This window comes from Homo sapiens, chromosome 2 (genome assembly GCF_000001405.40).
Source record: "Homo sapiens chromosome 2, GRCh38.p14 Primary Assembly".
Lineage (NCBI taxonomy): Eukaryota > Metazoa > Chordata > Mammalia > Primates > Hominidae > Homo > Homo sapiens.
This window is the reverse complement of record NC_000002.12, coordinates 168,066,191-168,091,458: the sequence shown is the minus strand read 5'-3', so window position 1 is coordinate 168,091,458 and position 25,268 is coordinate 168,066,191. Positions and strand designations below refer to the sequence as shown.

Sequence of the window (25,268 nt, the reverse complement as noted above, 5' to 3'; positions counted from 1 at the left end):
CTATCTCATCTCCCTCAGAGGCTCTAGCCTCCAATGGGAATTCAGGGGATTCCTTGTCTCCTTATATTTTTGTGAGTTTTGAATGAGAGAGACATGAGAAGATAACTTGGGTGGAGTGAGCTGTGGAGATGGAGTAGAAGTTTAAATGTGAGGCATGTTTCTGCATAGGGACCTTGTGATGCAGTCATTGGCTCTTCTTTCCTATCAATTTAAACTTGTGCTGGAATCAGACCCTTCAGTCTTTCAAACCAGAGTTTAAGTCTGTGCTGTATCATGTGTGTGTGTGTGTGTGTGTGTGTGTGTGTGTGCACCTGTTTGTGTTTCTATCCTCACATCTGAAGTCTCTGCCCTTTGCAGACAGCATGATAGTGAAATGAGTTGATTACAAGGGGAAAATGATTTTAGTGAACCAACATGGGTCTGTTTGCTTCTTTGAATTATTCCCAGCACGATAGGATGTTAATATGTCATCTCAGAGGCAGATGGGCCCATCTATTTTGATCATCAGCTCTGTCATTATTTGGCGTTTAGAACCATGCCTTTCCTCGCAGTATCTTCAAGATACTTAGAGGAAGGCCCAGAGTTTTCTTGACACCAGCTGCTACTTTGCTTAAGCAGATGGAATAAATTAAGCCCCTCAGCCTCCCTATACTCATCACTATTAACCACATCCCCACAGCGAAAAGGCCGGTGATGGCAAAAGATGGTTGTTTTCTGAGGACATGGTAAAATGCCTTTGAGTCTCAGGGTGAGACTCTTGGCCCAGAATGTTCCTGTGTCTTACGTTTTAGCCTAGGGTATTTATTTGACTTGTTCAACTAATATTTCTACGGTACCTGTTGTGCACTAGTAGTGTCTGTGTTGAGTGCTGGTTCACAGAGGTGAACAGTTTCAGAGCAAGGTTTTCTGTTGACTGCTCGAGTTTCAGTTATGTTGGATATGGGGAACTAAAGGGTTTCAGAAACTAATGGAGTCCTCTTTACTTTTCTTTTTCTTCATATCCCTTCAGCAGTTCTAGGATACAATGTCACTAGCTCCTGACATCCCTCTCTAAGGGGAAAGCATGAGGGAAGATGGGGAGAAGTTTCCTTGTGGTGCAGGTTTGCTCTGGCAAGACCTTCTTCAGGGAGCAGAAAATTGTTATTCATTCATTCATTCATTCATTCAACAAATGTATCTTTGGTCCCTACTAAATGCAGGATACTCTAAATATAGGGACACAGAACAGATGTAACTGCATCTTACTTTCGGGATACATGCTTTCCCACTTCCAAATTTTCTTATATGCTAGAACATTTTCTCAATATCTTTGGAATTTTGTAGCAAATGCCACCTTAACAAAAACAACAGTATCCATTATTCTGTAGACAGAATGTAGAAGAACACAAACTCAGCTACCTCGGAGAGGAATGGAAAAGCAGAGTATTAATAAACATGAACTCATATCTTTACATTACTATGCATTCAAAAACTTAATGGCAGTTTCATTGACCAAACCAAATAGCTTATTATAACAGTGAGTCTTCATTCCAGAATTTGTTGCATAAAAATAAAATATTAGACCAGGTGCGGTGGCTCATGCCTTTGGGAGGACAAGGCAAGTGCATCACCTGAGGTCAGGAGTTCGAGACCAGCCTGACCAACATGGAGAAGCCCCATCTCTGCTAAAAATACAAAGTTAGCTGGGCGTGGTGGCGGGCGCCTGTAATCCCAGCTACTCGGGAGGCTGAGGCAGGAGAATTGCTAGGACCTGGGAGGCGGAGGTTGTGGTGAGCCGAGATTGCGCCATTGCCCTCCAGCCTGGGCAACAAGAGCGAAACTGTCTCAAAGAATACATCTATTAAAAATGTTAGAAATCCTAAGTTGTTAACATGTATTGCAATAAATGCAGGTGAAAATAAGTTGACATTCTTGATTTGACCATATTGTCATGTTGAGGTTTTAGAAATATTTTTCATTTTTTAGTTCTTGAAAAGTTATTAGGCAACTTATCCTTCCATTGAAAGTCACATCTTTGTACCTTGTTTAGAAACAGGAAGTGGTTACTTATACTTTCTGTTTTATCTGCTTCCATGTTGTTTGTGTTTTTTAAAAGAAGTATGTTTTTAATTTTTAGATACTTCTGTTTTGACTGACAGTGTAACTCATAATGATAAAAATTCAAATGATGCAAAACCTTTACTGGACGAAGAAGGCAGGGAGAATGTTGCTTTTCCACTCCTGATGTTCCTTTAGCAAAACATTCTAGGACACTCTTTGCCTAGGAACTTACCTGATTAGTGAATTTGGAGGGAAAAATCAGGCACAAAACTGTGGCCCCACTCCGTCTTCCTCACTTTCTCCTGGAGCTGGCCTGCTCACCCAGGGAGGTACCCTTGGTCACTGAGGACCACCGGTGTGAGGGAGGAATGTGCTGATTAACATCGCTGGGGAGCCCTAGGGGAGTCTCTTCGAAATCTAGAGATCAGTTTCTCAACTGAGAAAGAAAGGCTGTTTACTCAGTGTTTAAGCCACAATCTCAGATATCACCTTTATAAGTAATAAGGGTGATTTTTGATCCTTTTATGCTTACTGGTCTGATTTCTAAGTTAGTTTAGTGATAGGAGGAGAGAGGGTTATTTATTGGGCCTCCTTGAAGTGTACAACATGGTGAAAAAGTCTCCAACCCAGTAGGCATTACCACATCCTGTAAATGCTTCCCAAAATGCTATGTGCATATACGAACATATCTAGAAATGTGTATGTGTGCCTCTCCTCATTTTCTTTTACACAGTGGTGGATGCTGTTCTCTATTAGCCTTTTCTACTTGTTATATTTTGATGGTCTCTGATACTTGTTACTGGCTACATACTATTCCATAATATGGATTTGAATTAATTTTCTAACCAGGAAGAATAAAAACATGTTTCTATTTGAAACTCACACTCTGATCAACAGTGAGGAACTGTGAAGTTCTGCTGCTGGGGGACAGGATAGCAACTGATTTCTGTGCCTCCTTTTTCACATGGAAGAGGCATATCATGTATATATCTCTCTCTATGCAGGTGATAGACTTGACTTGGTCCTTGATAATAGAGACCACACTGAAAATTGACTATGTATTGACCTACTTTTTCAGAGAGCCTATTGCTGCCATTTATCCAGGAACTGTAAGCTGAGTAATAGACCAAATGTATCTTTAGGGCAGTTAGTAATAATTTTTATGAAGGAACCCCCTTGGTAGTGACATTTAAAAGTTATTCTGAAATGTTTGCATACATTTGTATGTTGAAAAAAATCAGATATCTTAGTGAAATTAGAATATTAGGAATATTTTCTATATTACATCTTGTGAGTCTGAATGGAGTTTCCATTCCACAAAAATCAGTGCATTTGAGTGTCTTTCCAGGTTTTTTCTCGGGTCATTAATCCCTAAGCAGACGTAGTTCTTGACAGAAGGTTTTCCAAGGGGGTGGTGTCGATTATATTTCTTAGACCTAACATAAATGATGTTTAACCAGTAGCTAACCCCTGATCTTTATTTCAGGTGTCTTTGTAAGGTAAGAATTTAGTCTCTCTTAAGTTATGGTAATTCATATCATCTTAGTTTTCATTTTTTGTCCTTTCAGTTCAGTTTCTCTTAATATTTCACTTAGAGACATTAACATATTCTGTTATGGGGGGTATTGCTCTTCTGCTAGCTAATTTGCCTTTTGTTTATAAATACCGATAGTGAGGCTGCTGGATTTTAGTGTATCAGTCAGGCTTCAACAGGAGAAACAGAACCAGTAGGAGAGACCTATAAAGAGATACATTGCAAGGACTTGGCTTACTTGATTTATGGGGGCGGTCTAGGCAAGCCTAACATTCCCAGGGTAGGCTGTCAGGAAGAGCAAGCTGGAGCTCTAGGGCACAGCTAAAGCTGTTGTCCCCAGATGGAATTTCTTCAGAGAAGCCTTAGCTCAGCTCTGAAAGCTTTTCCACGTATTGAATCAGGCCCACCCAGATTATCAAGGATAATTTCCCTTTACTTAAAGTCAATTATGGACTTAATCACGTCTAACAAATGCCTTCACAGCAATGCCTAGCTTAGTGTTGGAGGGAGTAACTGTGGGCACTAGCACAGTCAACCTGACAACTAGAACTGACCATCGCAGTGTGTTTCTCTGTTGCTTGTCAGAAATCTTCTGGTTCCAGCCCTGCCTGGAGCCATATTTGGTTGGCTGTGTGCTTCTCTTTCTCTTCGCCACCCCTCTTTCTTCTGCAGGTAAGCTAACTCTTAACTTATTGCTGTATCCTAAGCAACCTCGACTCTGCTCTGGAGCCAAACATTTGGTTTCTGCGTTTTCCTTTGGTCTTACATGATGTGTGTTTTCTCTTCTGTGCTATTTGTCTTACCAGGACAGAGTGTTCCTATCGTTCTCTTTATTAGCTAAAGTTACAGATCAGCTTGGCACCCTTTCCAGCAGGAGCTTTAGTTTTCAAAGACAATAGTTACAAAATTGGATTCTGCTTTCGTGGCTCTTAGCTGTTGCCATTGTTCTTTGTTGCCCTCACTTGGGGAAATGCCATATTGGAGGTTTGATAGGACTGATGCAGAATAAGAAATCTAATTGCTTCTCTGTGCTTTGTGCTGCCTCCTCAGAATAGTTCCCTTCCAACTTCCAGAACATTCTCTTTCAAGACATTGCCCTTTCATGTTGGGTTTCCAAAGTTACAGTATTCCATTCTCATTATCTGAAGAGCAATGTTTGTCAAATTTGCTTCTCTTCCCGTTAGAAAATATTCAGGCATTATAAGGAAGTTGCTATAAATGTGTCTTTCACCAAACTAGCTGAGTATTTTTAATTATCATTATTAAATTATAAAGTCTTTGTTTCTCTAGAATTTTTTTTCTAATTGCCTATAGAACTTTTTCATATCCTCATTCTTTTGTTCTATTCCTTCACATTATAGAAAAAGGAAATGCCTAATTTTAGCAGAACTGGTAGAGCTTTAAATTCCAAGAAGTCAAAAAATAAATGTTAATGGGAATCACTGACTAAAAGGTCCAATATTTAGCTCTTGCCACTTGCCTATGATTAATAGAAATGGGCATTTTTCCTCTTGGTAAATTTTAGTGTATAATAACATAGTCAGATGGAGATACTTTGTAAGTGTAAATTAAAATCTGAATGTTCAGAGGCCTGGAGTATACACAATTAGAAAACATGACTTAAAGTGTGTGGTAGAGTCTGTTATCTGGTATGACAAGGGCTGCCAAATACGACCTATTAATTTTCAAAGAATCACTAAGTATACAAAATGAAAACACATTCAGTAAATCCCTTATCACCATCGTTATCCTGATCATCCATTTCTGTGCAACACATCACCCTAGACCAAATGGCTGAAGACAGCAGCAGTCCTTTAGTAAGTCTCCCAGTTTCTGTGGGTCAGGGATTCAGGCTGTTCAGCTTCTAGTGTCATGCCACTGCGCCAGATGGTCAGGTCACCTGGGGGCTAGTCTGGGCTACCTCACAGCACAGGGGTCTGAAGGCAGTTGGAATGCTTACATGGCACTTAAAGACTTCAACCGTTGAGTATTCCAGTGAGCAAGATAGATGTTGCATCACCTTTTCTGACCTTCCCTCACTTCTGCCTCATTTCTGTTGGTTATAGGTAAGGCAAAAATCCACCCAGATTCAAGGAGAGGGCACTGGACTCTGTCTGTTGGTAGTGAAGTGGCAAGATTCTTGGACATGTGGGGCAGGAGATATTGTCATGGGCATCTTTGGAAAAAACAATTTGCTATCTATCTACGCTCTGGCCACAACAACTTACATCTCTTCCATGTCTAAAATATGCTCTTGAGCTTTTAAGACTCTCCAAAAGTTTCATCCTGTGGCAGCTCCAGGCTTAGGCTCAAAATCATGACCTTGTCCTCTAAATCAGATCTGGGTGCAGAGGAGGCTCCTCAGGACTGGTGCCATGGGCACAGCTCCTTGATTTTTCAATCTTAAAGCCTGTGAACTAAAGAGACAAATATCTGCTGGACATACACTCAGGATGCGGCAGGAATACACACGTCTTAAAGATTTGCCCAAAAGGGGGAAAACGGGAGCACACAGGTCCATGGGAGTTCTGGAGTCTAGCCAGGCGTGGGTGGCCAGCTCCTTGATCAGGGTTCTGTCCAGTTTTGCTGTTTTCTAAGGCTCTTGGCTCCCCTCTCAAGTTCTGTTCTTTAAGCCATCCTTCTTTTTCCACAAGAAAGAGTCAGTGTTTGCAGCTAAGGAGCCTTCTCAGACTGCTTCCTGCCAGCAAAAGTTTAGGATCTGAAGGCCTCTTTTTATTTTGTATTCTGTTTCTTTTTGTCTAACTTGGCAGTATTTTGTAGTACGATATCAAAAAAGGTAGTGGGTTTTCTGTGAATCTTGTTGGGTTCACTCCATTAGTGAAGATCCATGACCACAAGATGCTTTGTCTACCATGGGTTCCCTGTGAGACAGCTAAGGGGCAGTGCCCTGTGATTCTTGGAATCCCTGTTATTTAATGCAGAGGTTCTGCAACACAAACTATTAAGATCCTCAGAAGGTGTTAGGTACGTTTGAAGGTGTCTACAAGGCACCACCTTAGACCTTTCTGAATTCTTAAAAGGTTGTGCAGTTTCACCCTGGGTTTGATTTTTGCTCTGAAACCATTTCTTGGCTCAAGAATTGTTTGATGTGTGGAGAGATTGGGAATGAGAAACAGGTTTATATTTAACAGTTTATTCTTTAGCTCATCTCTCTCTGCTCACATCTTATAGGCAGTGAGCAGAACCCAGGTGTCACTTTAAGTGGCTGCCTGGAAATCTCTTTAGATAGATCATTGAGTTCATTAGGTGCATTTCCGCTTCCCACTTTACTGTAGATGTCAGTGTTGCTAAACTCTCTGTCACTGCACAACAGGGTCCTCCTTTCCTCTAGCTTCCAGGAACATTTCCCTCACTTTTCTTTAAGCCCTCACTGACAACCTTCTTAAAACAACAGTCATTTCATTATCTCGCACTGTTGCTATGTGTCAGGCATTCAGAAAGGGCTTGTCCTGACTCGGGGTCTCTCGTGCTTGCTGTCAGCCATCTTGGAAGCAAGTCTGATTGTCATAGGGCTAATTGTTGCTTTAAGTCACTCAGTTTTAGGGTGATTAGTTACATGTCAGTAGTGACTGGAGTGATTAACATGCTGATTTCTTTCAGGCCTTTGTTATCCTCAAGTCCTAGCACATCCTCTGCTCTGCTTTCAGAAATCCAGATTTTCTCATTCTCCCTTCCCCCCACCATGCCCACCTGAAAGCTTTCCATGTTTTCCCATTGTCTGAATTCTAAGCCTCTGGCTGGTGTACAACAGGGGTGTGAACTCACAGGCCAAATTTGTCCCAAAGACATTAATTTTTAGGCTGCACAGAGAAAGTTTTTTTTTTTTTTAACTTGATATGTTAACATTAGAATAAGTCAAGAGCATTCACATAAAAATCCAAATTATCCACTTCTCTAGAAGAATCAGAAGATCTGGCTATGCTGGGGCTGTCTCCCTGTGGCAGCCGTCAGTCAATGCTGGTTGCCTTCTTATGGTGGGACAGGTGCTCCTCAGGTCACCCAAGTCCTCACTTGGCCAGCTTTTCCTTTGCATTTTCTGCTTGCCTCCTATAGGCCTTTGAATTTGCCTTCCTGATTGTACAAGATTCTTTACACAACTTTTCCAGCCTTGCTCTTAGCCATTTTCTGAAACCAGCCCCCTAGATCCCAGTATCTTGTGACCCAGCCACATTACATGAGTCAGTAGAATGTGCTAAGTTTTTGCTTTCTCTGCTTGCTGGGCTAATGCTCTAGCAGCTACCCTTCCATACTGTCCCTTGATAGACAGTCATCCTCTCTTCTGCAGATTCCCATGATTTGTATCTTTTTTATAGTATTTATGTCTTTTAAAAAAAATTTCTAGCTTAAATGTCTGTCCACCTGTCTGGACTGTGAACTACTCCAAGGTGTAAGATTTTGTTTTATTCATCTTTGGTCTAGAACTTGGTAGACGAAGGTAGTCAATAAAACTTTGTTGACCAAATGAAGTAAGAAGTGATTTTTAAAAAATGTCTAAAACAAGCTCTCTGCCCTGAAGGAGTATACAGTTTGATATGTTATATGTCCAGTGTAACACAAAGTAGAATGACATAGAGGTATAGGCAAAATTCCAATTGGATCGACAAAAGCTTCTTAGCTTAAAAAAAAAAAAAAAAAGGAGAATGTGGAAGGGCAGATCAGGCCAAGGATGTAGGTAATGCATATGGGAAATGGTAGAGTCACAAAAATATGTGACATGTACATAACTGGATTGTAGGGTATCTAAAGAGATGTGGTAGAAAATATATAAACAAATAAATAATTTGGGGCTGGATTATAAATAGATAAATAGATTTGGTTGGGAGAAGCATTGAGGATATTCATGATAATAGCACCTGTCATGTTTTGAGTGCTTCTTATATGGCAGGCATCATGTTAGGAGCATTATATGACCATGCCCCTGGTGAACATGATGGCAGTGGGGGTTGGGATGAGATTCAAAGGCATTAACTAAGACAACACTGGAGAAGTGTCAGAATGAGGCTGGAGATGGAGGATTAACAAATGGGTTAGGGGTGGCAAACTCAACTTTGAAAAACAGATAAGGTGTTTATATCCAACAGAACACTTGGAAAACAAGACTAAGAAATGCAGTTTCCAAGGATTTCAATTTAGATGAGGTCAGGGAGGCCATGGAGAAGGTGTGTTCACTCAGGGCAACAGTGTCTAGTGAGCTGAGAATGTGTACTGGGCTGGGAGCAGTCACATTTATCGTGGAGGCAGAGCAAAGAACAGTTGGAGGACACAGAAGGACAAGAGAGGTAGGAGGAGAAATATTGTGGACACAGATTTGGAAAGAGCTAAAGGAAAAGAATGGAGTTCAGCAGTGTCTACAAGACAGTGTTATGGCCACAGGGAAGAGCATTGAATTACACTATTAGGAAGTCATTAAATCTCAAAGGGAGAGAGAATAGCATTGGTGGCCTAGTAGGGACAGATACCATTTTTGCACGGTATTAAAGTGTGAGGATAAGATAGGATGTGAGGGCCACAATTGGAGACTATCTTTAGCAAAACGTTGACAGTGAAAGAGAAGAGTGATGGAGTAATTCTTAAGGAAGAATGAAAATCAGTGGGGTCCCTGGCGCTCTTTTGGTAGAAGTATAAGAGAGACTTAAGCATATTTACAGATGATGTAGAGGAGGCAGGGCCTGGCTATAAGTGTCTTGAAGGAAGGAATAAGTGAATAGATACATGAGGAGTGCTCCCAGAGGCATTGGTCTTGTAAAAAGAAGGAATCCATTGTCTTTGCACACAGCAGGGAAAGAGGGTGAGAGTGTGAAGTTTATTAGGAAGATAGGGGCTGTGAGTATGTGTTAGTATGTTTTTGCGCTGCTGATAAAGACATACCCGAGACTAGGCAATTTACAAAAGAAATAGAGGTTTAATGGGCTTATAGTTCCATGTGGCTAGGGAGGCCTCACAATCATGGCAGAAAGCAAGGAGGAACAAGTCACATCTTACATGGATGTCAGTAGGCAAAGAGAGCTTGTGCAGGGGAACTTCTCTTTTTAAAACCATCAGATCTTGTGAGATCTATTCACTGTCATGAGGACAGTGTAGGAAAGACTTGTCCCCATAATTCAATTACCTCCCACCGGGTTCCTCCTGTGACATGTGGGAACTGTGGGAGTTACAATTCAAGATGAGATTTGGGTGCGGACACAGCCAAACCATATCATTCTGCCCCTGGCCCCTCCCAAATCGCATGTCCTCACATTTCAGAATCAATCATGCCTTCTGAAATGAGTCAGAACTCATTTCAGTATTAACTCAAAAGTCCACAGTCCAACATCTCATCTGAGACAAGGCAAGTCCCTTCCACCTATGATCTTATAGAATCAAAAGCAAGTTAGTTACTTCCTAGATACAGTGGGGGTACAGGAATTGGGTAAATACAGCTGTTCCAAATGGGAGAAATTGGCCAAACCAAAGGGGCTACAGGCCTCATCCAAATCTGAAATCCAGTGAGGCAGTCAAATCTTAAAGCTCCAAAATGATCTCCTTTGACTCCATGTCTCACATCCAGGTTACGCTGATGCAAGAGATGGGTTCCCATGGTCTTGTGCACCTCTGTCCCTGTGGCTTTGTAGGGTACAGCCTCCCTCCCAGCTGCTTTCATGGGCTGGCGTTGAGTGTCTGCGGCTTTTCCAGGCCCATGGTGCAAGCTGTAGGTGGATCTACCATTCTGGGGTCTGGAGGACATCAGCCCTCTTATCATAGCTCCACTAGGCAGTGCCCCAATAGAGACCGTGTGGGGCCTCTGACCCCACATTTCCCTTCTGCACTGGCCAAGCAGAGGTTCTTCATGAGAGCCCCACCCCTGCAGCAAATTGCTGCCTTGATATCCAGGTGTTTCCATATATCCTCCTAAATCTAGGCAGAGGTTCCCAGTTCTTGACTTCTGTGCATCTACAGGCTCAACATCATGTGGAAGCTGCCAAGCCTTGGGGTTTGCACCCTCTGAAGCAATGGCCCGAGGTGTACCTTGGCTCCTTTGAGTCAAGCTGGAGCAGTCACAGCTGGAGCAGCTGTGATGCTAGGCACCAAGTCCCTAAACTGCACACAACAGAGGGACCCTGGGCCCAGCCCAAGAAACCATTTTTTTCCTGCTAAACTTCCAGCCCTGTGAGGGGAGGGGCTGCCACAAAGTTCTCTGTCATGCCCTGGAGATGTTTTCCCCATTGTCTTGGTGATTAACATTTTTTTTTTTTTGGAGAAGGAGTCTCACTCTGTCGCCCAGGCTGGAGTGCAGTGGTGCCATCTCGGCTCACTGCAAACTCCGCCTCCCAGGTTCACGTCATTCTCCTGCCTCAGCCTCCTGAGTAGCTGGGACTACAGGCACCTGCCACCACGCCCGGCTAATTTTTTTGTATTTTTAGTGGAGACGGGGTTTCACTGTGTTAGCCAGGATGGTCTCAGTCTCCTGACCTTGTGATCTGCCCACCTCGGCCTCCCAAAGTGCTGGGATTACAGGTGTAAGCCACTGTGCCAGGCTGGGATTTTCTTTTCTGTCACATCGTCAGGCTGCAAATTTTCCAAACTTTTATGCTGTTTCCCTTTTAAAACTGAATGCCTTTAACAGCACCCAAGTCACCTCTTGAATGCTTTGCTGCTTAGAAATTTCTTCCACCAAATACCCTAAATCATCTCTCTCAAGTTCAAAGTTCTACCAATCTGTAGGGCCAAAATGCCTCCAGTCTCTTTGCTGAAACATAACAAGAGCCACCTTTGCTCCATTGGATGGACTTGCTCTCAGGGTAGCAGAGGAAGTTATTTTAAGTGATTGGGGCTGGTGAACTGAGGCCCTACTGTAAGCTGCAGTAGCAGAGAGAGGAATGGAGAGTTGGGGATCTGACTCCTGCTCTTACATCTCCTAGTATTGTCACCTCCCAGCTGTATGAGCTTGGGCCATGGACACATGTTACATGTGTCACAGTTTTACCTCTGAAAAATGGGGCAGTACAATCATTCTCAGCTCACAAGCTACTATGAAGATTAAATTAGTTAATACATGTAAAATCCGTAGAACATAGTACCTAACATTGTATGAATACCAGCTAGGGGCAAGGGGCTAGGCTGGCAATGAGGGAAAGTGTTGTCTAGCACAGTGTTTCTCAAACTTGAATGAGAATATGACCCCTGGGGGATCTTATTGAAAAGGAAGATTCTGATTTTGTGGGTCTAGGGTGGGTCCCAAGATTCTGCATTTCTAACAAGCTCCCTCCCAGGTGCTGCTGTTGCCCCAGTCTATGGGCTTCACTTGGAGGGGCAGGGTTGTAGCAGCACTGATGCCCCATCTAGGAGTGGCCGGTGGCCATCTGTAGTGGCACCAGGCATCATGCGCACTTGACTGGTGCTCTTCTTGGCTGGCAGTTCAGGATTAGAGAGTACATGTTGGGGCTGATCCCAGGGCTTGCTTTTCAAGTGTGGATTGGATAGGAAGGTTCATCTGGCCAGGGGACATGGGGACATTGAGTACTAGTAAGTGTAGCATCTAGAGTCAGCTGTGGGTGCCAGGCCTTGCATGCTGAGGAGTAGAGCCGGGAGGGGGCTGGTGGAAGAGCAGGAGAGGACCTAGGCTGGAGAGGACAGTGGAGCCAGGCAGTAGGTGTAGGATGGAGGTGCCGAGAGAGGTGGTGGTCAGAGAGGAGCAGTGTCAGAGTATAAACTATGGAGACAGTAAAATATTTATTGCTAACGTCTTACTGAGTCACATTTCGTTAATTTTTCATGATTTAGAAGGCTTTTTGTCTGCTTGGCAGTGCCTCAAGTACATGATAAACAGCAATTAATTAGAAATATTTTTTATACTTCTCATCAGTAGTATGCCTGGTAACAGGAATGTCACTATGTGTTGCTTTCTGCTGGTGCAGTAGGTTCTTGATAGGTGGACGTGAGGCTGGTGGGCTCCCTGGATCACTTGGGTTTCGACTGTAGTCAGCATGCCATATGTTCAGCAGGTGGAGGAGAGGCTGAGTGCAGGATTCCCACCGAAGGGGTAAAAATCACTCCAAGGAGATTCCCAAATCCCATTTCCAGGGAGAAGTTAATGTGGCAGTGGGAGAGGCTAGTGGGTGCTTTCCTTTTTTTTTTTTTTTTTTGGACAGATGGACATGCCAGATTGAGACAAATTCTACTAAGTTTTGGTCAGTATTTCTTTGGGTCAGTAAATTCTTCTTTTGTTCAGTAGAGTGTTAGAATCACACACCTGCATTTCTGACACATTTAGGATGCTATCGTAGAAATTTTACCTGGTGGTTCTTCATATCCTTCCTCCCCATTCCTGTGTCAGGGGCCAGGTGCCTTCTTTGAGTTGCATGGGGACGGTACAACTGTATTTGCAGATTTGCAGACAGCTCCTGTTTAGAGATGCAGCACTGGAGTGACAGGTCAGACCGCTCTAGGGACTGTTGTCCACATTGCTGCCATCTCCTCTCTGTGGCTGCTCATCCTAGCCCTGCCCAGTGGCCACCTACATCTTGCCTGGTGGCCACCAGCACTGGCCAGGAACCATGCTTCTCCTTTGTTCATCTGGCTGAGCCTGCCTTCTTTTCTTGGAATCAGAACTTGGGTTCATTTATTTAACGGGTTTTCATTAAAAATAACATTTAGAGAAAGAGAAGAAAATATAAAACATTTTCTAACCTTACTACTGCCAACTATGACCTGAAGAATTTGTGAGATTATGAATTCCTTTAGGTATCACTTAAACTGAGCTTGTTTCTCTGAGAAGCAATGGATTTTTTAAAATCCCTGACAGAGAAAATAGAGAATAAATTCTTTCTACCACCTCTTGGCTTTACTAAATGAGCAAATCATTTAGTAGAACAAGAGCAATGTAATAATCAATGAAATTAGAATTACAAGGGTAAATAATCTCCATTCTCATCGTTGGGTGTGGGGAAGATGGAAGCTTTTCTGCACTTTTTTTTTTTTTTTGAAGTTTTAACTTTGCAAGGTATTATTCAATTCCCGAATAAGACCATTTACTAAACTGTGTGAAACTTAGATGGCTCTAAAAGATAAAAGTTGTTTCTCATCATCCCTACAAACTCCCTACAAGGATGTAACTTTGTAAAATTGATTTCCCGTCCCTTTGGTAGACGTCAATGTCACATAAATCCACCATGAAACCTGGGTTTCAAATTATGCTGCAAGTTTATTCCTAGGAGTAAGCTGAGGGGACATTCTCAAAGACAAGTTAGTATTCTTATTCTAGTGGCAATTTTACCAATACTATTCCCTACATAGGTTTTTGAATGTTCTTTCTCTTAATTTGGTCAACATTTGTATATTTATTTGTTTAACCAATGTTTATTGCTTAAAGGCCCATCCCACCATTTCTTTCAATGTCTAGAGCTATAATCCTAGACATTTTGTTTTATCTTTCTCTCTTCCAGCAAATAAAACAAACAGAGAGAGAGCCAGGGCTCTAAAATAAAATAAAAATGGGAGAAAATGGGCCATTTTATTGTTTATAGTTGGATTCTGCTTGTGGAAATGAAACTGACAGAGCTTGTAAACATAGAGCCAGAGGGGGAAAGGACGTAAACTAAATTTTAGGATGTTAATCTAGACTCTCTCTGGAAAAGAAGATTTCCTTAGTGTAATCTCTTGGGTGAGTACTTAAAGAATACTAATTCATCAGCTATCCTTGGGTTCTACAATTTTAGTAAAGACAGAGTTTTGTTCTGTGTCTGATAGATAATTTTACTTGTTTTCTCACTTCTTAGTTGACAGTATGTTTTGTAATAGATGTGGCTTTAAATTCTTCCTTTTCAATGTAGTCATTAACATATGTTTCTCTATGTTGCTACCACCATGATCAGCGTTGCTAAGAAAATAATTTTATTGTATATGTCAACAGAAAATTATTTTCTCTTCCTTTAGCTATTTCTGCAAGCATTAAAATGAGCAATCTGTTCTGCAAATGCTGAAGTGCATTTTGGCATTTTTTCTATAGTACTTTGCCAACATCTATAAGCACCATTAAAATCACCGTCATTAGAAAAGACTTTTAGAGCAACTCAAAATGCAAGCGGAAGAAATATCTGATGCCAAGCCCAAAAGAGGTTTTACTAAGTACTATTTCAAAGATAAATTAGTTAAAAAGAAAAATTTGGGGGGTAGGGGTTGGAGAAAAAAGCTTTTTTTAAAAAAAAATGAGCATAACTATTTGCAATTATGAAAAAGTACTTTGTACTTTCTTGCTGACTTTCTATGTTGGAGCTCAAATCTTCTAGACCAACTGGTCAGGATTACTTTTACAGGTTCTAGATGGTAAGGCCCTCAAATCAAAGCCAACCCCTAGCATGCATTTTTTATGACTTCGCATTGATCTGACATGTATACTAAACTTAAATATTTAAATTTAAGTTCTGTGTTGTTTCCCTTGGTTTTACTGAAGCTCCTGTGATGCAACTAAATAGTGTCTATTATAAAAAGTAGGCTTTCTTCACATCATAGTCTTTCAGTCTTCAAAGGACAGTTTTAGATAACTTCTTGCTGGTGGTTATCGTTCAGTGGCATAAGGAGAGTCACATTTGAGTGGGAGTCTAAGGCTTTGTTTCTTGCCTTGCTTTGCCTTCATTACTGTGTGATCTTGGGTCACGTTCTGGGCCTCCATCTCCTCATCTGTAAAATGAAGAGGTTGGACTAGATTGTCTGGAAGCTCCCTTTCCACACGAAGTTTCTCTGAATCCTTGGACCATGGCTGTTGCATTCACATCATGTTCATCTGCTACAGTGCTTTGTTTAATTACATCTTAGTAAATTTTTTAAGCAAATTACTTTGGTCTCAGAGGCTCACTTCAGTCATCCTGTCCTTTTAAAAGTTTTGCTTTTCCAACCACAAAGACATTTGGGAAAGCTTGCCCTATGGATTACATCTCTACCCTAGCTCAAAACAATTTGAAATAATGAGGAAGACTGATTATAATCTAGACACTAGCATGGCTGCTGATTATCAAGCTGTGTTCCTAGCAATCTCACAGGTCTCATAAGTGCTACAAAGTGTGTTAAGAATGGTCTGGTGCTGTTTTGTTTTGTTCAAATAGGTTGAGCAGAATCCTGGGGAAATAAGCATAATTGTCAGGTTCTGCAAGAGAGTGAGGTGGCAATAGAAGGGTGTGCTTTGTTGTCTTAGGTTTTTAGATTGCCAATACCCATGGTCTAGTATGCGTCATTAGGCTTCCTGATTTCTCTGCCTTTGCTCAGTCAGCAGGATGTTGCTTGCATGCGCTTCCTTAGGCAATTTGATGCCTACCACATGGCCTTTTGTATATGGCAACTAATAAAGTGTTAACTGAAGTAAACATGAAAAATGAGCTTGATCCTTAATTGCTTATATGTGCAATGTTCTTCCAAAATATTTTGTTCTTCATGTATATAGTAATGCATTTCAAAAAACACAGCATTTTTGGAAAGAGGATGAGTTTGGGAACCTGGAGGCTGTGTAGTCTTTTTGGATCTTAACCGCTAGCTATCCCTGGATTCACAGCCACTCAGGTTATTTTCAGGTTGGTGTGTATGCCGTATAACCCAAGTTGCAGCACCAGTGAAATGGTTCACATTTGACTAGTGAAGAATTGTGTGGGCTTGTTTTGATTCAGGTAAGAAGAGTTCCTGGGTCAAGTGGTCACCTTCATAAAACCGAAGACGGGGACTGGGAGTGGAGTGACGACGAGATGGATGAGAAGAGCGAAGAAGGGAAAGCAGCTTTTTCTCAGGAAAAGGTAAATGACATCGTTGACGATGAGCTAATCTGTGTAAATTTTATTTTTGTGATTGTGTGTGTGTATATATATTAATGGATACATAATTGTTTTACAGTCACGAAGAGTAAAAGAAGAAAATCCAGAGGTGAGCTGTGGCTATTTATTTATTATTTTGCCATTTCATTCCTTTCTTGTGGTATCAGAGTCTGATCCATTTAGGGGAGATGCTTCAAAATCTCATGGAGTAGAAAGAAAAAGGAAAGGCACGAGGACTTTGCAGCTCCTAATTCTGTCTGAGTTACTTTGGGCTGAATAAATCGGGGCAAATTACTTTGCTTTCTGAGCCTGTTTCCTCATCTGTCAAATGAGGATGATCCCAGTACTTATAAGAAAGTCGCCATGAGGGTTGGCAAAATCCCGTACACAAAACCCTCCACGGAATCCTTGTCACAGACTAGGTAATCCATTAATTTTAACTCTTAGGATTACTGCCTTTAGAAAACATAGTAACCATACAGGCAAAGTGTCTTCCATGTTTTTTGTTTGCAATAAAGTAGATATTAAAATGGTTAGAAACTCTTGGTTGAGTCTGTTGGTCTTGGTTTTTAAATCTTCCAAATAATACCTTAGTAGGTTAAGGAGCACTCAAAAAATTTTAACAGCTTCCCTTTGAGGCCTGGTCATCTTTTGATTAAGAGATCGTATTTGATTTACTTCCTCCATTTGATTAATTATCCTAATGCCTAATGATAACTGTAGTTCACAAGACCTGCTAATTCTCCTAGAGGAAATTTGAGCATATTTAAATAGCTCCAAATATTTTACAGACCTAGTAATTAATGTATACCTTAATAAATTCTCATTAAGAAAACAAAATCTTTGGACTACAAATGATATCCATCCCAATTTTTTTTAATCAGCAGACATTTCCTTTTGATTAAATGTAGTACCTGTCATCATGGAGTTTGAAGTGGCAGTAGCCAGCCTGGGTCTTGTAAGGAGGAGGACAGCAGAGCCACAGGCCACCCTTTCTTCTCCTCTTCTTTCCTCTCATCCTTCTCTCTCCATCTTGCATGCCATGTGGATAGGCCTTTCCTAGGCATTTTTCAGCTTGCCTGCCTCCCCATGGTAGCTCTCCTTCAGATTTTGTTTTCTCCTATGTTTATCATTTAATTCACCTCTCAATTTCATACATAAAATATAAACTTTGGCCAGGTGCGGTGGCTCACTCCTGTAATCCCAGCGCTTTTGGAGGCCGAGTCGGGTGGATCACGTGAGGTCAGGAATTCGAGACCAGCCAGGCTAACATGGCGAAACCCCGTCTCTACTAAAAATACAAAATTAGCTGGGCATGGTGGCAGGCATCTGTACTCGGGAGGCTGAGGCACGAGAATTGCTCGAACCCGGGAAGTGGAGGTTGCAGTGAGCTGAGATTGTGCCACTGCACTCCAACCTGGGTGACAGAGCCAGACTGCACCTCAGAAAAATATATATATAAGCTTTGATCAGAGACCTCATCCCCCTTTGTTAGGAGCAGGGGTGATGAGCCCCACGTGGAACACATTGACCACACAGATGTTGTGCTAAGTTTTCAGAATGATCTTAACCATGTATCATGAACTCTATTTCTCCTTCCTTTCTCTCATTTTATCTAAGGTGCAGAGTCTAGGCTTTTCTGCTATTTCTAAGAGTATTTCTTACTAAAAGTGTCAGTTCTGCTGAGAAATATAACAACATAACATGGTTAAAGTAGCATCATTGACTCACAAAACATTTGTTGTTCACCACAAGAAATCTTCATTGGACGATATCCATTGGATCCTGCCTTGCTAGTAAGGCTGATGGGTGCAGGTCATAAGGATTTAGGATAATCTCTTACTGTGTGCTTGTTGAAATTGCTCTGATAGCTGATTTGTTATTTGGAGAATAGCAGTATCTTTTTGGCAAGAATATTTTCTGCACAGACAGGAAGGGAAAGACTATGTAGTGTGCCGTGAGTTGATCTTCAGGCATCAGTACTGACCTTCTTAAATGGGATATGAAAGTCATAGGTGGTTTACTGCATCTAGACTCATTTGATTTCTCAGCACCATATGTCTGTTAACATATTGATTTATAATTAAAGAAGCATATGAATAGAACTCTTATTTCTGTGAAAGGATACATGTGTTTGCATGTAAACACTTCCACCAAATTTTAGGAATAACAGGCCCCACCTGCTATTGCACAGCTTCTCAGGCTAGTTTTTTGACACCCATTCCTTTGACAGCCTTGACATTTGATTATCTTGAGCTGTATTAAGAGATGCTACAGTGATGCTTCCTGTGTCCTTTCAGCTTTTAATTAAAGTGTCCCTCTGATTTGCCAACTACCCCAAACTGCTTTCTGTAAGCAAAGCATGAAGTATTTTATTTATCTATTATAAAGGAAATTAAAAAGTGTTAAATATGTAACTATTCAGCAAATATGTATTATGTCCCTACTATGTGCCCTGTCTTAGTAGGTTTAAGGGATACGTCAGTGAGAAATACAGAGCAAAATCCCCGTCCTTGTGGAGCTCACGTTCTTATGGGAGTAGGTAAACAATATATAATAGCCTTAATAAGTAAGTAAATTATGTGGTTTGTTACAATGGAATAGGAGTGATAGAAAGAAACAGAATGGGATGGGGGCTTCAGGGAGTGTGGTGGGAAGTTGTAATTTTAGATGAGTTGGTCAGGATAGGCCTTACTGAGAAGAGACATAGAATAATGATTTGAAAAACATAGGAGAATGACATATAATAAAAACTGAAAGACCGCTTTTATCCTGCTCCCCTTTTCACCCCTGTAACTATCACTTTGTTCCACAGAAGTCATCAGTTTGAACAGAGTTTTCTTCCAGACCTTTTCTGTTTCTTTCCATACTAATATGTTCATTAAAAAATCTAGCGTGTCATTTTTAAAACATGAATGGAATTACAAAAACTAGAAAATATTTTTGCAACTTGCTTGATTGTTTTTGCAATCTTTCCACCTTAGGAACTATAGATCTGCCTCTTTTTTATTTCCCAGCACATAGTATTGTATTAGATGAATGAAAATTGTTTATTTAACCATTTCCTTCTTGGCGAGCACTTAGGCTGCTATTACAAATACCATTCCCTTAACTTTTTTGTGTATGTATTTCAGGGGGCACATAGATAAGTAAATTATAGGTACTTAGAATTGTGATTGTTTTATGTGTCTGCTGATTTTGAATTTTTTTTTTTTTTTTTTGAGATGGAGTCTCACTCTGTTGCCCAGGCTGGAGTGCAGTGGCGCAATCTCGGCTCTCTGCAAGCTGTGCTTCCCGGGTTCACGCCTTTCTCCTGCCTCAGCCTCTCCCAGTAGCTGGGACTACAGGTGCCTGCCACCATGCCTAGCTAATTTTTTGTATTTTTAGTAGAGACAGGGTTTCACCGTGGTCTCGATCTCCTGACCTCGTGATCTGCCAGCCTCGGCCTCCAGAAGTGCTGGGATTACAAGCGTGAGCCACTGTGCCCGGCCTGATTTTGAATTTTTGTAGTTGCTATCAATAGCTGTACCAATCAGTATATACAGCTTCTGACAGTGCACCTTATACCTGTAAACATCTTTGAGAGTGAAAATGCTTATCTGTGCCAAATAACACATTTAAATGCCAGAGTATTTACATTTTAATAAGCTTTTTCATGTTTGTCATTACATTGCAATTCAGTTGTTTTTGACTATAAGCCACTAGAAGATTGAGATAGTATTTTATGAAAAAAATGAAAAACATGGAAGTTTGTGTTTCTTTTGCATCTAGTAGACACTATACATGTTCACTGATGACATGAATTGGGTATGCACTGCAAGTCGAATATTAAACAAGTGCATGAGTAGGCATATAGTATTTATGAGTAGGTCAGAAGTGATTCAAGGGATCAGAAGACATATAATTGAGGTGAAGTTCAGAAAAGTAGCTTTGTTAGTACCATGTTTAGACAGAGTAAGGTGCTACAGTAAACTAGGGATATTTTAGGAAAGCTTAATGAGTGAGGGGCTATTTGACCTCCTAGGAAGTATGAGGTAGAATGACCAAGTATTACAGTATTAATCAAAGAAGACTGAGAAGGCCAGAGTGGGATGTTTGTCAGAGGGACATTGAGAAGATCCACCTCATCCTGGGTCGTATTTGGAGATCCTCCTAAGTCCAAGAGAATTTCCAGTATAATCTGTAAGATTTTAGAATTGCATTACTTATCCTGGAATTCAGATCTGGCTTGAGATTCATAGCCATCACATTGAAAAATTGGCCTTGTGTTCCTAACCTGATATTTTAGAAATATCAAAGTATTAAAAAAAGGATGAGTTCATGTCCTTTGTAGGGACATGGATGAAGCTGGAAACCATCATTCTGAGCAAACTATCGCAAGGACAGAGAACCAAACACCGCATGTTCTCACTTATAGGTGGGAATTGAACAATGAGAACACTTGGACACAGGATGGGGAACATCACACACTGGGGCCTGTCATGGAGTTGGGGGAGGGGGGAGGGATAGCATTAGGAGATATACCTAATGTAAATGACGAGTTAATGGGTGCAGCAAACCAACATGGCACATGTATACCTATGTAACAAACCTGCACGTTGTGCACATGTACCCTAGAACTTAAAGTATAATTAAAAAAAAAAAAAAGAAATATCGAAGTATTAGTCACCCACTAGTAATTAATAATTTATAACAAGTAGATAGCTCATCCTTGTTTCATTTGTTTATCATCATATTCTACTTGGTTGATGGAAGCCAGTGAAGACTAAATGTTATTATTAATAATATTAATTAAACAGATGTTTAATCTGTGCCTGATTTCCACTTGGAACTGTGTTAGGCACTGTGGGAATTTCATAAAAGTAAAGACAGCTCGCTAGCTGGATGCTTTTCATCTCTTTGGGGGTCGGGGAAGGGGTGGTATTTGCAAGGACAGTTTCCTTAGGTAGTGTTTCCTAGCTTATATAGCGTCTTAGGTTATATAAAACTTTTCAACTGTTATCCCATTATTGATCTTCTTTTGACCAGTGGTTTTGGAATCTCTTTTTGTCAAAAATAATAAGTACATGTTTTATGACTTTCTGTCAATTTTGCATTATATCCTAATTTTCTACATAAAAAGTGAAATTGACTTTATCTTTAAATTTATAGTTTCATTTGGGTTCATTTAACTGAGGAGGGCATTTGCTAAGGCTTCTATTAAAGTAACACTCTTTTTTATAGTAGCATCTCAGTTAGGTGACATGAAAATAAACAGTTCACAACCCTGGCTGGAAACCTTTAAAAATGCAGTGTCTAGACTCAACCCACAGATTCTGATTTGGTAATTTGGGATGATGTCCAGGCAACTCTGATTTTTAAAAAGCTGCTCTCAGGATTCTGATTCACAGCTAGGATCAAGGACTGGCTAGGAAAACTGCACAAATCCCTCGGAATCCAGAAGTCCAGACTGGAATCCAGGAAGCTGGTGTGCTCAAAATTCCTGAAGATTTGTTTTAAATGTCCATCAGAAATTTCCAAAATAAAAATAAGGAAAAAGAAAATGTTTCAGAAATCCCTTGGGAAAGTTGTGTTTATTTAATCAAGGGTAATGAAGCAGGTGGGAAAGGTTTCTGGCTGAAGCCCAGTAGGGCTCACAAAAGGTATATTGAAAAGTTTTGTTATCAAGAATCTAGACTTGGCTAATTATGGAAATATTTCTGTTTCCTAATTCTGGGATTTTGCTCTGAGGAGAAAATACATTTGGTATTTAAATTGAGTTAATTTTATTAGAGATTAGATGCAATGTGAAAACTAATTTTTTTCCTTATATTACTTATTGCTATTGTCACATGTCATTTAAGACTGCTGTTAGCTTTTAAAAATTATTTCTGTGGGTCAGGCGCAGTGGCTCATGCCTGTAATCCCAGCACTTGGAGGCTGAGGCGGGTGGATCACCTGAGGCCAGGAGTTCAAGACCAGCCTGGCCAACATGGTGAAACCCTGTCTCTACTAAAAATACAAAAAATTAGCCGAGCATGGTGGTGTGCATCTGTAATCCCAGCTACTCAGGAGGCTGAGGCAGGAGAATCGCTTGAACCCAGGAGGCGGAGGTTGCAGTGAGCTGAGATCATGCCACTGCACTCCAGCCTAGGTGACTGAGTGAAACTCCATCTCAGAAAAAAAAAATATTTCTACGAAAACATGTTTTCCAAATGCCTGTGAGCTGTCAAACGTGTTTGTTCTATACCCATATGGAGATGGAGAGAGAGATTTAACTTCTCCCTCCACTTTTATTATGGTTATCCTTAGCCATCACAGACTGCTTTAACCTGATATTTTCATGATACCACTTTCTAAAAGGTGTTGTTATTGCAGGTGACTGCCCTTTTGAGCAGTTGTTAGAAAAGATAGGTATGTTTTTCAGAAATCCAGAAATCTGCAATATATCTGAAAATGAACTTTTGATTTTGGAATAATTTTCGATTTATAGAAACGTTGCAGGGACAGTGCAGAGTTCCCATATATTCCTCATGCAATCTCCCCCACTGTTGATTTCTTATGTATTCCTGACAAATTTGTTACAACTCAGAAACCAGCGCTGCCATGTGACTGTCAACTAAGCCCCAGAATTTGTTCCCATGTCACTAGTTTGCCTACTAGTGTCCCTTGTTTTTGCCAGGATCCAATCCAGGATAGCACATTGCATTTAGCTATAATATTTGCGAAAACAGGAAAGGAGTTCATTAGGCAGAGCTCTACGAAAAATTGGAAAGCAGATGTTGTCTCTTTCTTGTCTCCATTCTGAGATCTTTTCCTCTCTTATCCTGTCCTAGATCCCCATCAGGGTCTATTGCCATGGTGGTGTTCAACATTAATCCATTGTTCCTGCCTCCTCCTCTGATATGGTTTGGCTGTGTCCTCACCCAAATCTCATCTTGAATTGTAGCTTCCATAATCCCTACATGTCATGGGAGGGACCCGATGAGCGGTAATTGAATCATAGCAGCAGGTTTTCCTATACTGTTCTCGTAATAGTGTATAAGTCTCATGAGATCTGATGGTTTTATAAAGGGCAGTTCTCCTGCACACACTCTCTTGCCTGCTACCGTGTAAGCTGTGCCTTTGCTCCTCCTGCGCCTTCTGCTGTGATTGTGAGGCCTTCCCAGCCATGTGAACCTGCGAGTCTATTAACCCCCTTTTTCTTTATAAATTACCCAGTCTTGGGTATTTGTTCATAGCAATATGAAACCGGACTAATACACCTTCCCATCAAAACACTCATTCTCTCAAATGTCCATCCTATAGCAAATTGTTTAAAAGGAAATGAAAAACCCTGATAAATTGACAGCTGCTTAATATGTTAGCTTTCTTACAAGTTTTTACACTTAGAAGAGTATACCCAAAAGACCATGCCCTAATCCCATAGAATGGATCTGTAGTGGTGACATTTGGAGGAATGCAGTTCGTTGTCAAGGAAGATGTTTTGTACGGTGGCTTCCTGTATTAGGCCATCCTTGCATTGCCACCTGAGAGTGGGTTATTTAGGAAAAAAAAAAGAGATATAATTGACTCACGGTTCTGCAGGCTGTATAAGCTGATGCTGGCAGCTGCTCAGCTTCTGGGAAAGCCTCAGGGAGCTTTTGCTCATGGTGGAAGGTGAAGTGAGAACAGGCACATAATTTGGTGAAAGCAGGAGCAACAGAGAGAGTGGGAAGGAGGTGCCACACACTTTTAAATGACCAAATCTCGTGTGAACTCAGAGTGGGAACTCACTTATCACCAAGGGAATGGCCCAAGCTATTCATGAGGGATCCATCCCCATGATCCAAACATGTGCCATCAGGCTCCACCTCCAACATTGGAGATAACATTTTTTTTCTTTTTTTTGAGACAGAGTCTCACTTTGTCACTCAGGCTAGAGTGCAGTGGTGTGATCACAGCTCACTGCAATCTCCGCCTTCTGGGTTCCAGTGATTCTTGCGCCTCAGCCTCTCAAGTAGCTGGGACTACAGGCGCAAACCACCACACCTAGCTAATTTTTGTATTTTTAGTAGAGATGGAGTTTCGCCATGTTGCCCGAGCTAGCCTCGAACTCTTGGCCTCAAGTGACCCACCCACACCTCATCCTTTCAAAGTGCTGGGATTAGAGGCATGAGCCACCGTGCCCAGCTGAGGATTACATTTCAACATGAGATTTGGGTGGGAACAAATATCCAAACTGTATTCCCTCCCTGTCCAGCTCTCCTGTGCATCTCTGCACATTTTCTGAGGAATTACCATATTGCTGTGCATCAGAGTGGAGGCTGTGGTCCCCTCGTTGTATTCAGGGTTACACCTACACAGTAAGGTTGCAGGGTGTGTGTGGGGTTCCAGCCCCCCGCCTAGTTGATTAGCCCTCCATCTTGATGATTGTGCAGGGCAGGAGATGGGTCTTCCCAGGGGAAAGAGAAGTTTTCACCTCTTAGTAAATGCCACTAAGGTTTTTCAGGTTACAGTAGTTCTTTGACTAAAGGAAGTCACAATAATGTTTATAAGTACTGATGTGGCCTTTGGTTGTATCACAAATTTAAATTAAGATTGTGGAATCACCCTGAAAGATTCTTTGCAAGAGATCATTTGAAGTAGGCCCAGAGCCTCTGGCTGGTTAATGAATACAGGTTGTTTTGTTCTTCTAACGTAGTCATTTTCCCCTAACATCTTATCGTAAAAATAAATAGAGCAACATTAAAACATTTTATAGTGAACGCCGTATACCTATAATCTAGGTATCATCATTACTGTACTTGCTCTATCATATATATCCATCTATTCATCCTTCAGTCTATCTTAACTTTTTGATGCATTTCAAAGTAAATTGCAGACATCAATACACTTTTCCCTATTACTTCACTACCACCATAGTTATTTTGGAAGAAGCA

At 41.1% G+C, this 25,268-nt stretch overlaps 1 protein-coding gene across 7 annotated transcripts in view, besides 1 other annotated feature; it reads left to right on the top strand.

Annotated features, from left to right (window-relative positions):
• The window catches only part of STK39 (serine/threonine kinase 39), a 293,574-nt gene that overhangs the window by 156,137 nt on the left and 112,169 nt on the right, over positions 1-25,268 (top strand). For all 7 annotated transcript variants that reach the window (NM_001410961.1, NM_013233.3, XM_047443944.1 and 4 more), the window contains 2 exons: positions 16,228-16,350; positions 16,448-16,477. In NM_001410961.1, the coding sequence (NP_001397890.1) occupies positions 16,228-16,350; positions 16,448-16,477 (153 nt within the window). The remainder of the gene's footprint in view (positions 1-16,227; positions 16,351-16,447; positions 16,478-25,268) is intronic.
• Positions 784-833: a silencer, noted in NCBI's record as "silent region_12071". NCBI's record gives its function as "represses an Ori minimal core promoter by ATAC-STARR-seq in GM12878 lymphoblastoid cells {active_cell/tissue: GM12878}" and the evidence as "EXISTENCE:reporter gene assay evidence [ECO:0000049][PMID:35858748]".